At 43.9% G+C, this 13,412-nt stretch overlaps 1 protein-coding gene and 1 pseudogene across 5 annotated transcripts in view; one reads left to right on the top strand and one right to left on the bottom strand.

The window, feature by feature from the left end:
• Positions 1-13,412, bottom strand: part of SFI1 (SFI1 centrin binding protein) — a 122,450-nt gene that overhangs the window by 78,019 nt on the left and 31,019 nt on the right. For 2 of the 5 annotated variants that reach the window (NM_001007467.3, NM_014775.4), the window contains exons 3-4: positions 11,707-11,880; positions 9,441-9,512 (exon numbers count right to left, since the gene is read on the bottom strand). The exons of 2 other annotated variants lie outside the window; for them this stretch is intronic. In NM_001007467.3, coding sequence (NP_001007468.1) covers positions 9,441-9,512; positions 11,707-11,880 — 246 coding nt within the window. The remainder of the gene's footprint in view (positions 1-9,440; positions 9,513-11,706; positions 11,881-13,412) is intronic. One more of the 5 variants, NM_001258325.1, reaches the window with a different exon arrangement.
• On the top strand, positions 1,981-2,218 carry RPS26P59 (ribosomal protein S26 pseudogene 59; annotated as a pseudogene).

Here is a 13,412-nt window from a genome sequence, read left to right as displayed (position 1 = left end):
GGTGGCTCACGCCTGTAATCCCAGCACTTTGGGAGGTCAAGGTGGGTGGATCACAAGGTCAGGAGTTCAATACCAGCCTGGCCAAGAGGGTGAAACCCCGTCTTTACTAGTAACACAAAAATCAGCCAGGCATGGTGGTGGGCACCTGTGATCTCAGCTACTCAGGAGGCTGAGGCAGAAGAATTGCTTGAACCTGGGAGGTGGAGGTTACAGTGAGTCAATTGCGCCACTGCACTCTAGCCTGGGTGACAGAGTAAGACTCTGTCTCAAAAATAAAATAAAATAAAAATAAATAAATAAATAAAATAAAATAAAATATAAATAAATAACAAATTAAAAAATTAAAAAATTACCACCTTCATCTCAATCCCACCCCCCCACCCCGTGCCAGAAGGAGTTAGAGGGTATCTCTTTTGTCTGGGGAAAACTGATCAACCTAAGGGGAAAGGCCTTCAGAGACACAGACAGCTAGATTCCCTGGTGAAATCTGCCCCAAAAGCCTACAGTGAAGCCTTCAAGTTATAAGTCTTCATGCTTACATATAAAAGCTTCTGGCTGGGTGTGGTGGCTCACACCTGTAATCCCAGCACTTTGGGAGGCCGAGGTAAGGCAGATCACCTGAAGTCAGGAGTTTGAGACCAGCCTGACCAACGTGGTGAAACCCCATCTCTACTAAAAATTCAAAAAGTAGCCAGGCGTGGTGGTGCATGCCTGTAATCCCAGCTACTCTGGAGGCTGAGGCAGGAGAATCACTTGAACCCAGGAGGCAGAGGTTGCAGTGGGCTGAGATTATGCCATTGCACTCTAGCCTAGGCAAGAGTGAGACCCTGTCTCAAAAAAAAAAGGCTTCTAAAATAAGCTTTTTAGGGTCCTGCTCTTAAATATAAACAGACAATAAAGAATCTCTTGACATTTGAGGAAAGGCTCCAACATGACAGAGTGACCAAAAATACAAAGAAAAAAGGATCTTAGAAGAAACACAGTGTAAGCAGATAAAAATCTTAAACCACATTATCCTCAAAAAATTTTGAGCCTCCAGGATACTATTAAAAAGAAAGGAAACATGCAGAGAACAAAAGAAGCTTTTGGAAATTAAAAAGGGAACATGCAGAGAACAAGAACAAGCTCTCGGAAATTAAAAATATGACAGCAGAAATGAAAAACAAACTCAATAGGTGACACAAAAAGTTGGTTGGTCTTATAGACCACAGTAAGGACTCTGGGCTTTTACTTTCAGCAGGAAGCCACTGGAAGTTTGACAGAATGATGTGACTTGATTTACTCAGACTACCTCCTGAGAAGATACTGACTAGGGGCAAGACAGGAAGCAGGAGACCAATGAGGGGCCATTGGAGTCACTCGGGGGAGAGATGCTGATGGCTTGGACTGGGTGGTAGCTACTGGAGGTCTGAAAAGTGGCTGGATTCTGAATGCATTTTGAAGGTTGAAGCAACATGATTTTGGCATATGGCATTTTAAATTGGGGTGTGAAAGAACAAGAGGTGTGAAGGATGACTTCACCATTTCTGACCTGAGCACTTGGAAGGATGGAGTTTCCACTCACTGAGAGGGGGAGGATGACGATTTCAGTTTCGGGCATACTATGGTGTGACACCCAGTGGAGTTGTCACGTACGTAAAAGTCCAGAGTTTCAAGGCAGAGGTCTTGGCTGGGCATACACATCTGAGAATCACTGTGAGATTTAATGAGATTTTGGTTGTGAGGCAGCTAGAGAAGCAGTGCAAAGACTAGGTGTTGGGATATTCAGATGAGGAAGAATCAACAAAGGAGAGTTAGAAGGGGCAGTCAAACAGGTAGGAGAAAAAACACAAGAGGATGGTAACTAGAACCTGGGAGAAGAAAGGTATTCTAGAAGAAGGAAATGATGGACTCTCTAATGCTACCTGGTAGGTCAAGTTAAAGAAAGTTTAGGAATTCATCATTGATTTTAGCAAATGTAGTGACTTTAACAAAAACAGGAGAAATTCATCATTTGAAACACAGTAGAGGCTGCAGCAGTCAGGGACATTTCTGAAGTGAGGATCTTTGATGCCTAGGTGCTACCCAAGCCATATATGAAGCTACCTTAATATGTGAGTTGTGCCATTCACAGCAAAGTAGTTAGAAATCAATCTCATGAAGGCTGCTAGGACTGAATACCCACACCTCCATTTCGACCTGCAGGCGTTGCCCCATGACTCCCACTAAAACCCGTTAAGAAACTGTGTCCTTAAGGACTGAAGAAAAATTATTCTCCAGAGAAAAATAAAATGGAAATTGTACTTAAAAAAAAAAAAAAAAGGTTAAGGCTGGGTGCAGTGGCCCATGCCTGTAATCCCAGCACTTTGGGAGGCTGAGGTGGGTGGATCATCTGAGGTTAGGAGTTCGAGACCAACATGGTGAAACCCCGTCTCTACTAAAAATACAAAAAATAGCCGGCCATGGTGGCGCATGCCTGTGGTCCCAGCTACTTGGCAGGCTGAGGCAGGAGAATTGCTTGAACCCGGGAAGCGAAAGTTGCAGTGAGCCAAGATCGCGTCACTGCACTCCAGCCTGGGCAACAAGAGTGAAACTCGGTCTCAAAAACAAACAAACAAACAAAAAACAAAGCTAAAACATTATCTAAGCACATAAAGGCATTATTCTGTAGTTTGTGGTATGATATTATTCCCGCCTAACACTCCTAAAATTGAGAAATAAATAACTCAGTATGGAAAAAGCCTAAAAACAAAGATCAGGATGCCCAATGTTCCCCCAAGTAACAAAGAACCTACTTGATTTTAACAGATTGATATTTGATATTGATATATAGATATTAGAAAATAACTATCCCTTCACAAATTTCTAAGTCAATGGAAACACAGTATCAGAATTCTAATTCTGGTAGCTGCTTAGAAAACAAATATTCTCACTCTATCATTTTGTAATTTGCAAAACTGAGGCCTACAGGCGTAACTATCCTCAGATCAAACAATTAGCTAGGGCCTGGGTTAGAACCGAAGCTCAGGTCTCCTTAATTCTAGTCCAGTATTCTTTCCTCTACACCCGCCTACCACTGAAGAGCGAAGACATGAAAAACAGCATAATGCGAATGTTTTAAAGCAATGTAGCAGGTTAGCTAGCAGTCACTGGCTAACCCAACACCCACTGCCAAGCCCTTTTTCTCGTAAGTATCCACTACAGAGGCCAGAAAGATTTCTTTCCAAACCTCCTCTGTAGCTAAAGGTGGCCGGTGACAAAGCTCTGGCCAATGAGGCAGAAGCAGAATGCAGTGGGGAACTTCCAGGGAAGTTTTCTTTCCTGATAAAGAGATCAAACTGACGCCACCCTTACCCCCACCTTCCTGTGTAAAGCTAGAATAGTCATCTTGCAACTACGAAGTGTTACCTATGAGGACAAAGGGCCAATGTGCTAAGGATGTTGAACTAGAAAGGTACTAGAAGCCTGAGTCTAAAACGACATCACTGAACAGCTGAAGCAATACCAGTAACTGCCAATCTCCAGGTGGCTTGTTAAAAAAAAAGAAGTAAATCCCCTCATGCCTGTAATCCTAACACTTTGGGAGGCAGAGCAGGGAGGATCGCTTGAGTGCAGGAGTTCAAGACCAGCCTGGAAAACATAGTGAGACCCTGTCTCTAAAGGTAAAAAAAAAGTTAATTTTAAAAAAAAAAACAAAAAACAGAAAAAACAAATCTCAATTTGTTTCAGCCATTGTTAGGCTTTCTCTTAGAGTCAATGTACTTCTAACATACAATCAGCATTTCCCAAGGACTTGGAAGGCATTATTTGAAAAGAGGTTCCCAGTCAAATATGGGTCAAATATAGATAAATAAAATTGAGTAAAAAATAGATTTTAGGGCCGGGCATGGTGGCATATGCCTGTAATCCCAGCATTTTGGGAGGCCAAGGCAGGTGGATCACTTGAGGTCAGGAGTTTGAGACCACTCTGGCCAACAGGGTGAAACCCCGTCTCTACTAAAAACACAAAAAATTAGCAGAGCATGGTGGCGTGCACCTTTAATCCCAGCTACTCAGGAGGCGGAGGCAGGAGAATTGCTTGAGCCCAGAAGGTGGCGGTTGCAGTGAGCCAAGATCGTGCCACCGCACTCCAGCCTGGGCAACAAGAGCAAAACTTCGTCTCAAAAAATAAATAAATAAATAAAACGGATTTTAGGAAAATAGTGGAGGTAGCAACACAGTTTTCAATCTTTGGATCCCCGAGTAGCATCTGAGGAACCTAACAACAGGAGAACCCTAAAATAGCCAATGAGCTGTTGTTGGAAGGTACAGAGGCCCAATTTAAGACCAGCAGCTGAAACTATGAGTTTTATCCTCTCCAGCACGAGGGCTCACATAAGAACTGAAACAGCTAGAGCAGTCCAGCCCCTAGGGAATCTCAAAACTCATCTGCCAGGGTACCCTTCTAGGACAGGGCTTCATATGGAGGAGAAACAGCCACGGGTAGAAAAAAATTTGAGCAGGAGAGGGTCAAAAGAGACAAGGAAAAAGAAAATCCAGACCAAGTGTGGTAAGGGAACAAAACCAGGATACCCCATTAAAAAAGCCACTATATTTTTGAACCCTAAACAAAAACAACAGAAGAAGGAGTTCTATGAAATTAGTAAAACTTAACCGAACCTTGACTCACTCTAAAAGTTCAGTATAATAAGGCAGGTGTGGTGGCTTGTGCCTACAGTCTCAGCTACTTGGGAGGCAGAGGCAGAAGGATTAATTGAGCCCATGAGTTCAAGGCTGCAGTGAGCTATGATCACACCACTGCAGGGCAATACAGCGAGACCTCGTCTCTAAAAAATATATAAAGACATATAAATTTAAAAACTAAAATTCAGGAAAACTAATTTCACATAAAAATAAGCAATAAAATTAGCCGGGCATGGTGGTGCACGTCTGTAATCCCAGCCACTTGGGAGGCTGAGGCAGAGGCAGGAGAGGCAGTAGAATTGCTTGAATCTAGGAGGCAGAGGTTGCAGTGAGCCAAGATCGCGCCACTGCACTCCAGCCTGGGCAACAGAGCGAGACTCTGTCTCAGCAAAAAGAAAAAAAAGAAAAAACAAAAAAAAGGTCAGGCGCGGTGGCTCATGCCTGTAATCCAAACACTTTGGGAGGTTGAGGGCGGGCGGATCACAAGGTCAGGAGTTCGAGACCAGCCTGATCAACATGGTGAAATGCTGTCTCTACTAAAAATACAAAAACTAGCTGGGTGTGGTAGCACGCATCTGTAATCCCAGCTATTTGGGAGGCTTAGGCAGGAGAATCGCTTGAACCCGGAAGGCAGAGGTTACAGTGAGCCGAGATCGCGTCATTGCACTCCAGCCTGGGCAACGGAGCAAGCAACACTATGTCTCAAAAAAAAAAAAAAAAAAGCAATAAAAAAGCATTTGAGGCCGGGCACCGTGGCTCATGCCTGTAATCCCGGCACTTTGGGAGGCTGAGTTGGGCAGATCACCTGAGGTCAGGAGTTCAAGACTAGCCTGGCCAACAAGGTGAAACCCTGTCTCTACTAAAAATAAAAAAGTTAGCTGGGTGTGGTGCCTGTAGTCCCAGCTATGTGGAAGGCTGAGGTAGAAGAATTGCTTGAACTCAGGAGGCGGAGGTTGCACTGAGCTGAGATCATGGCACTGCACTCCAGCCTGGGCAACAGGGTGAGATGCGGTCTCAGGAAAAAAAAAAAAAAGCATTTGAAGTTATATGAGGAAAGAAGATAAGGAGCAGAATAACACATATATAAACACAAGTATGCCAGAAGATTTGTCCACAAAAAAGAAAAAAAAAAACCTTGTTTACAATCTCAAAATGAGATAAAAGATTATAAGAAAATAAATTCCAAGCTTCTGAAAACTAAGACAAGCAATGAATCTTCAAAAGAGCAAAAATTAGACTAACAGCTTAGAAATGGAAGCCATAGGACAGTGATGGAATATCTTTGAGGTGCTGGGAAAAAACCAGCAGCCCAGACTTTCATACCCAGTGAAAATATCCTTCCAAGGTGAAGATGGAATTAGACAAAATATGAGAGAATTTCTCACTAGCAGACCTACCCGAAAGAGAATACCCTGGGACGTTCTGATAGGAGAAGGAAAATTATCACAGATAGAAACCTGGAGATGTGAGAAGAAAGAAAAAAGGCAACAGAAAGGGTAAATATTTGTTGTAATGTTAGGGCAAAAAAAGAAAAACAAATGAAAAAGGAAGGGTAAGTAGGGTAAATATGTGAATAAATCTAAATAAATATTGGCTATATAAAATGAGAATAATAGGCTGGGCACAGTGGCTCAGGCCTGTAATCCCAGCACTTTGGGAGGCCGAGGTGGGTAGATCACCTGAGATCAGGAGTTCAAGACCAGCCTGGCCAACATGGTAAAACCTTGTGCCACTGCACTGCAGCCTGAGCGACAGAGCGAGACTCTGTCTCAAAAAATAAAATAAAATAAAATGAGAGTAATAATGCTTTATAGATTTAAAAATATACACAAAGAGAGGGAGATGGGCAGAGCTAAAGTATTCTAAGGACTCTGTCTTATCTAGGAAGAGGGTAAAGAACCAATTAACATTAGATTCTGGTAAGTTACAAATATACATTTGTATTTGAATGAAAATACACATTCACATTTGTAACTTATCTGGACAGTCAGTAAAGGAAGAGTAAAACAGAATATAACTTCTAAGCTAACAGTGGAGAATAGAATATGCAATAAATTAAACAAAAAAGAGAGAATTCTGACAATAGCAATTTAGATCAATTCTCCCAATGAACAACAAAAAAAGCAGAGCAAAAAAATTTATTTAAGGCACTGAAGAGCTACCAAGGCAGTGAAGGATGACATGCCCAAGATTCAGAAGAAGGTAAAATAGAGGTGAACAATGCCTAGCACTTGCAGCTGGGACAGGCTACAGCTGAAAACAAGGGAGTAACATGATCAGCTCAGCTGCCCTGCTTGCTTTTGGTCGCTGCTTGTTTCTTTTTTTTTTTGTTTCTTTTTCTTTGAAGCTGAAGGCCACACCACTGAACGCTACAACTTTTTTGAGACAGATTCTCTGTTGCTCAGGCTGGAGTACAGTCACATGATCTCGGCTCACTGCAACCTCGGCCTCCCGGGTTCAAACAATTCTCCTGCTTCAGCCTCCCTAGTAGCTGGAATTACAGGCACCTGCCACCATGCCTGGCTAATTTCTTTGTATTTTCAGTAGAGACAAAGTTTCACCATGTTGGCCAGGTTGGTTTCAAACTCCTGACCTCAAGTAATCCGCCTGTCTTGGCCTCCCAAAGTGCTAGGATTACAGGCAGGAGCCACCACGCCCGGCCCGAACACTAAAACTTAACCTTCATTGGCTACTTTGTAGATAACATTCATAGGTCACCATGGCAATGGTCACTTCAGTTATTCTTCAGGAAACCTGGGCTAGCTCCTGTACAGTTCAAACTGATAGAGACCACCAACCCTTCAACTGGGCCTGTGAAGGAGCCCGAGAGGGACTTTTGATGCCTGAGGGCCAAAAACTCCACCCTTGGATCATGTTAACGCCTCTATTTTCTGTACACGTGTCCTATGACATGCCATGAACCCTGACTACACTTGTGTGCAATGAATGTTACTGCATTTTCCCCACTGCCAATCACCTTTCCCCACACCTTAAACCACCCCAATTCCCTAACCCACAAATATCCCTAAGGCTTATCTTTGGGGAGGCCGGTTTGAGACCTGTTCTCCTACCTCCTCGCTCAGTGGCCTTGCAAGTAAGTTTTTTCTCTTTTGCAAAACCTGTGTCACAGTGATTGATTTACCACACATGGGCAGAATGGACCTAGACCTGGCCAGTAACATAGCCACATCAGGAGCTTCACTGTAAACATACAAAAAGGAAGAGATGGAACAGCAGGGCCCCTCATAAAGTATACAAAGAAAAGATTTCAGAAAACACACACAGGCCAAGTTGGCTTGAGAGACATTGAATGAAGGAGTCAGACTGTCAAAAAATGAAACAGGAAAGATTACAGTAAGGGAAAGAAAAGGGGAAGAGGGGAGCAGGAGGGAACCCAAGACATTTCAGTTTTTAAGAAGTGCTTACATTCTCAAAGGCTGCCAATTCTCCTTTGGAAACATACCTCGCACTGGTCCCTTCTCTCCAGCTCCCCTGCCTTCTGTATGGTGTCCCTGACTCCTGTGACTCTCTCTTGCAGTCCACTCTTAGCACTGCAGCTAAAGCAATTATAACCCAAAACCACAGCAATGGGCAGCACTGGTCTATACAAAATGAAGCTATGACAGAGGAATTTGCTCCTCACTAAAATTTCATTTCCTTTGCCAAAGCCAATTTTTTCCCCCAGGTTCTGCACTTGATCAAGCCAATCTGTCAGTCTCACCAGTGCCCTGAAAGAGCTCAATTACTTCTCTTGGGCAAACACTTTTCCCAGAGAGATCTTATCTATCCTGATTTACTTAAGTATGATTCTTTTTTATTCTTATTTTTATTCATTTATTTTTTTTTTGAGATGGAGTTTCACTCTGTTGCCCAGCCTGGAGTGCAATGGCGCGATCTCGGCTCACCACCACCTATGCCTCCAGGGTTCAAGTGGTTCTCCTGCCTCAGCCTCCCGAGTAGCTGGGATTATAGGCATATGCCACCATGCTCAGCTAATTTTTTTTTTTTTTTTTTGAGAGGGACTTTCGCTCTTGTTGCCGAGGCTGGAGTGCAACTGTGCAATCTTGGCTCATCGCAACCTCCGCCTCCAGGGTTCAAGCAATTCTCCTGCCTCAGCCTCCCAAGTAGCTGGGATTACAGGCATGCGCCACCACGTCCGGCTAATTTTGTATTTTTAGTAGAGACGGGGTTTCTCCATGTTGGTCAGGCTGGTCTCAAACTCCCGATGTCAGGTGACCCGCCCACCTTGGCCTCCCAAAGTGCTGGGATTACAGGCATGAGCCACCATGCCTGGCTGCTCGGCTAATTTTTGTAGAGACGGGGTTTCACCAGGTTGGCCAGGCTGGTCTCGAACTCCTAACCTCAGATGATTCACCCGCCTCGGCCTCCCAAAGTGCTGGGTTTACAGGCGTGAGCCACGGCGCCCTGCCTGATTCTTTCATTTGGTCACTTGCTTGTTATTTTTTTTTCTTTCTTTTTCTTTGAAGCTGAAGGCCACAGTAGCTAGCTAAAGGCCACACCACTGAACACTAAAACTTAACCTTTACTGGCTACTTTGTAGATAACATTCACAGCTCACCATGAATGCAGCTGCAGTCAACTAACAGATATGAAGTTACCACTGTATTACATGGTTATATTAGGGACTGCTTCTACCTACTGGAGGCTGGGGAGGAATGTAACAGCACAAGCCATAATGAAGTTTATATACAGGCTTAATATAAAAGAAAACCCTAGAATGAACTCAACACAATTATGTTGTTCTGAGCTAATACTACCTGGCTTTAGAGGGAAATACTCTTCCAAAAGTCATTCGAATCCATAAATATAAGAACTTTCTGGCCACGCATCTGAAAGAAGGAAAAAAAGCATATACATATTTTAAAATTCCATTTGGCTTACATCAGCAGTTTTCTGGAAAGGAAAGGAAGCCTTTAAGGTCTCAGCAGAGGGATGTTAGTATGAATCAAAAGGCGGTATCATAGCTAATTTTGCATCATACAGGGCATAGGATGGGGCAGATTTATAAAGCTAAAATCAAGCAGATTATTTTTAAAAAATATTTTCAACATAAATTGTCAGTGAAGAGATTAAAAACTTCAAAAATGAGGTACAGGAAGTACATAATAATTCTTTTGTTCATATTATTCTTCCTGCCTAAAATGGCCGGCAAATGCCTGAACCTTCTCCAATGTAAACAGAGTGAGTAGCTGTGTACTCTCAGCACTCTGTTCAAACCCCTCCTGTAATGTTATGACACCATATCACAGAGATCAGCTCACAGGGTGTCTGTCATTCCCTCTGCACTGTGAGCCCCTGAAAGCAGAAATTGGTGCTTTATAGTACCTCCAGTACCTAGCACAGTGTCTGGTATACACACAAAGGTGGCTTGTCTTTTTTTTTTTTTTTTTTTTTTTTGAGACAGAGTTTTGCTCTGTCGCCCAGGTTAGAGTACAGTGGCCCAATGTCTGCTCACTGCAAGCTCCGCCTCCTGGGTTCACACCATTCTCCTGCCTCAGCCTCCCGAGTAGCTGGGACCACAGGCACCCGCCACTGCACCTGGCTAATTTTTTGCATTTTTAGTAGAGACCAGGTTTCACCATGTTAGCCAGGATGGTCTCGATCTCCTGACCTCATGATCCACCCGCCTCGGCCTCCCAAAGTGCTGGGATTACAGGTGTGAGCCACCGCGCCCGGCCTTGTCTTTTTTTTTTTTTTTTTTTTTTTTTTTTTTTTGAGATGGAGTCTCACTCTGTCGCCCAGGCTGGAGTGCAGTGGTGTGATCTCGGCTCACTGCAACCTCCACCTCCTGGGTTCACGCCATTCTCCTGCCTCAGCTTCCAGAGAGTATCTGCGACTACAGGCACCTGCCACCACGCCCAGTTAATTTTTTGTATTTTTAGTAGAGACGGGGTTTCACTGTGTTAGCCAGGATGGTCTCGATCTCCTGACCTCGTGATCCACCCGCCTCGGCCTCCCAAAGTGCTGGGATTACAGGCGTGAGCCACCATACCCGGCCAAAGGTGGCTTGTCTTATAGAGTTAAACCTTGAGCTCAACTTAAAACACACCTTCTCCTGCCCTTTATCTGGCTTATTCTTACATTATCCTTCAGGGCTGAGCTTAAACTCCACTTCCTCCAGAGAGTAACTGCTGGCTATACTAGTGTGGCTGTTCTCGCCGTATTTGCCTGTGGTACCACATCCTTCTCCTCTCATTGCACTAATCTCACTTTATTGTTGTGGCTTAAGAGTCTATCAAGCCTACCTGATTTTAAACTCTCATTAAGTCATAAACCAAGATGATCTTACTCACTTTATATGCTCAGCATCTAGCGTAACACCTGGCATGGGTAAGCACCAGATAAATCTGTTGTTGTTGTTCTGAGACAGAGTCTCACTCTCGCCCAGGCTGGAGGGCAGTGGAGCAATTTCAGCTCACTGCAACCTCGGCCTCCCAGGTTCAAGCGATTCTCGTGCCTTAGCCTCCCAAGTAGCTGGGATTACAGGCATGTGCCACCACACCCAGCTAATTTTTTGTATTTTTAGTGGAGACGGGGTCTCAAACTCCTGACCTCAGGTGATCCACCTGCCTCGGCCTCCCAAAGTGCTGGGATTACAGGTGTGAGCCACCGTACCTGACCTGATAAATTTTTGAATGAAGAAACAGATGTCTCTAATATATCTAATCGAGAGTAGCAGAAGTGTTACAGCTCTTCTAGAATTCACCAGAAAATCTGGGGGGAAAAAAAGAATAGCAAAAAAGAGTAGTTCCTTCTTTCTTGGACCACGTTTAGACTTTTTCTGGAAGAATCTTGATAGCGTCATATTGTGAGGCACAAGTGGAGAAATGAAAACACTCAATGACAGATTTTATGTCTGCAGGTTCCTGAATATCCTTTTCATCTGAACATTCTACTACCAAGAACAGGCATCAAGATCTCCCACTAATTGCGGTGGAAGAATAAGAATCATTCCCCCATTTTAACCAAGAAAGGAGAACAAAAGCAAAGTACCCATAGACTGGTGGCCACTCATAAGCTCACCTGATGCGCAGTTCTCTTAACCGGCCCTGTCGGGTACAAGTATGTGTGCCACGATACTGCACTAGATGACTGGTACTAGGTAACTCCCTCCGGATCCCAAAGGATGCAGAAGACTTCTTGTTGGACAGTGTCTTTGCAGAATAAGGTTTCTTAACTGCACCATCCTTAAAATACCTTAAATTTGAGGACGAAAGAGGCAAGGAGAGAATAAAGTTATCTCTGCATGTGATGCAAATACTTTTAATATACAAGCAAAATTAAACAGATAAGCTCATTGAGACTGACAATACCTATGCTGCAAGGATAATAAGCAGCCCAATCTGACAGAAATATTGGCCAACCACTAGAGGTGGGTACTGCTGGGTCAGCTCTAGGCAGGAACTACAGAGCTGGAGGGCACCCCCTGGAGTCATTAGGCCTAACACAGTTTTCTTTTGTTTGAGACAGGTTCTTACTCCGTTGCCCAGGCTGGATTGCTGTGGCATGACCACAGCTCACTGCAGCCTCGACCTCCCAGGCTCAAGTGATCCTCCCATCTCAGCCTCCCAAGCAACTAGGCAACTAGGACCACAGGTGCTCGCCACTGTGTCCTGATAATTTTTTTTTTTAAGAGATGAGGTCTCACTGTGTTGCCCAGGCTGGTCTTGAACTCCTGGGCTCAAGGAATCCTCCTACCACATCCTCCTGAGTAGCTGACACTACAGGCATGCACCACCATGACCAGCTAACTTTTTATTTTTATTATTTTTTTGAGATAAGGTCTTACTCTGTTGCCCAGGCTGGAGTGCAGTGGCGCGATCTCAGCTCGTTTAACCTCCGCCTCCCGGGTTCAAGCAATTCTCCTGCCTCAGCCTCCCTAGTAGCTGGGACTACAGGCACCCACTACCGTGCCCAGCTAAGTTTTGTATTTTTATTAGAGACGGGGTTTCACCATGTTGGCCAGGCTGGTCTTGAACTCCTGACCTCAGGTTATCCACCCACCTCGGCCTCCCAAAGTGCTGGGATTACAGGCTTGAGCCACTGTTCCCGGCCAATTTTTTATTTTTATTTTTTTAGAGACAGGGTCTCACTATATTGCCCAGGCTAGTCTCAAATTCCTGGGCTCAAGTAATCCTCTTGCCTCAACCCCCCAAAGGGGTGGCATTACAGACATGTACCACTGTACCCGGCCTGATCTCATTCTTGATCTCTTGCTTCAGAATATCTGCACTGAGGGTAAAGCACACGTATGTACACACAAACACACACACAAAGTTTAATATACTTTTTAAAAAATTTTATTGTATTGTTTTCTTGAAATAGGGTCTTGCTATGTTGCCTAGGCTGGTCTTGAACTCCTGGGATTAAGCAATCCTCCCAACTAAGCCTTCCAAAATGCTGGCATTACAGGTGTGAGCTACCACAATCAGTCTCTTAGATTTTGTTTTTTAAGAACAATTCGAAGTTTACTGCAAAATTGTGAAGAACGAACAGACTGTTCCCACATACCCCTTTTTCTTTACACACACACAGCTGTATATGCTAAAATGAATATGTTTAAAGAAATGAAAGTCAAGAGTGAACATATTTGCAGGGCACGGGGTAACTATAAAAAGTAAGGTAGAAGCATTAATCACAACAGCCAAAAGGTAGAAGCAATCTAATTTTTTTTTTAAAGACAGGTTCTCAGCCAGGTACAGTGGCTCATGCCTGTAATCCCAGCACTT

The sequence above is a fragment of the Homo sapiens genome, chromosome 22 (genome assembly GCF_000001405.40).
Source record: "Homo sapiens chromosome 22, GRCh38.p14 Primary Assembly".
Taxonomy (NCBI): domain Eukaryota; kingdom Metazoa; phylum Chordata; class Mammalia; order Primates; family Hominidae; genus Homo; species Homo sapiens.
Note: the sequence above shows the minus strand (reverse complement) of the source record. Positions and strands in the feature narration are given on the sequence as shown.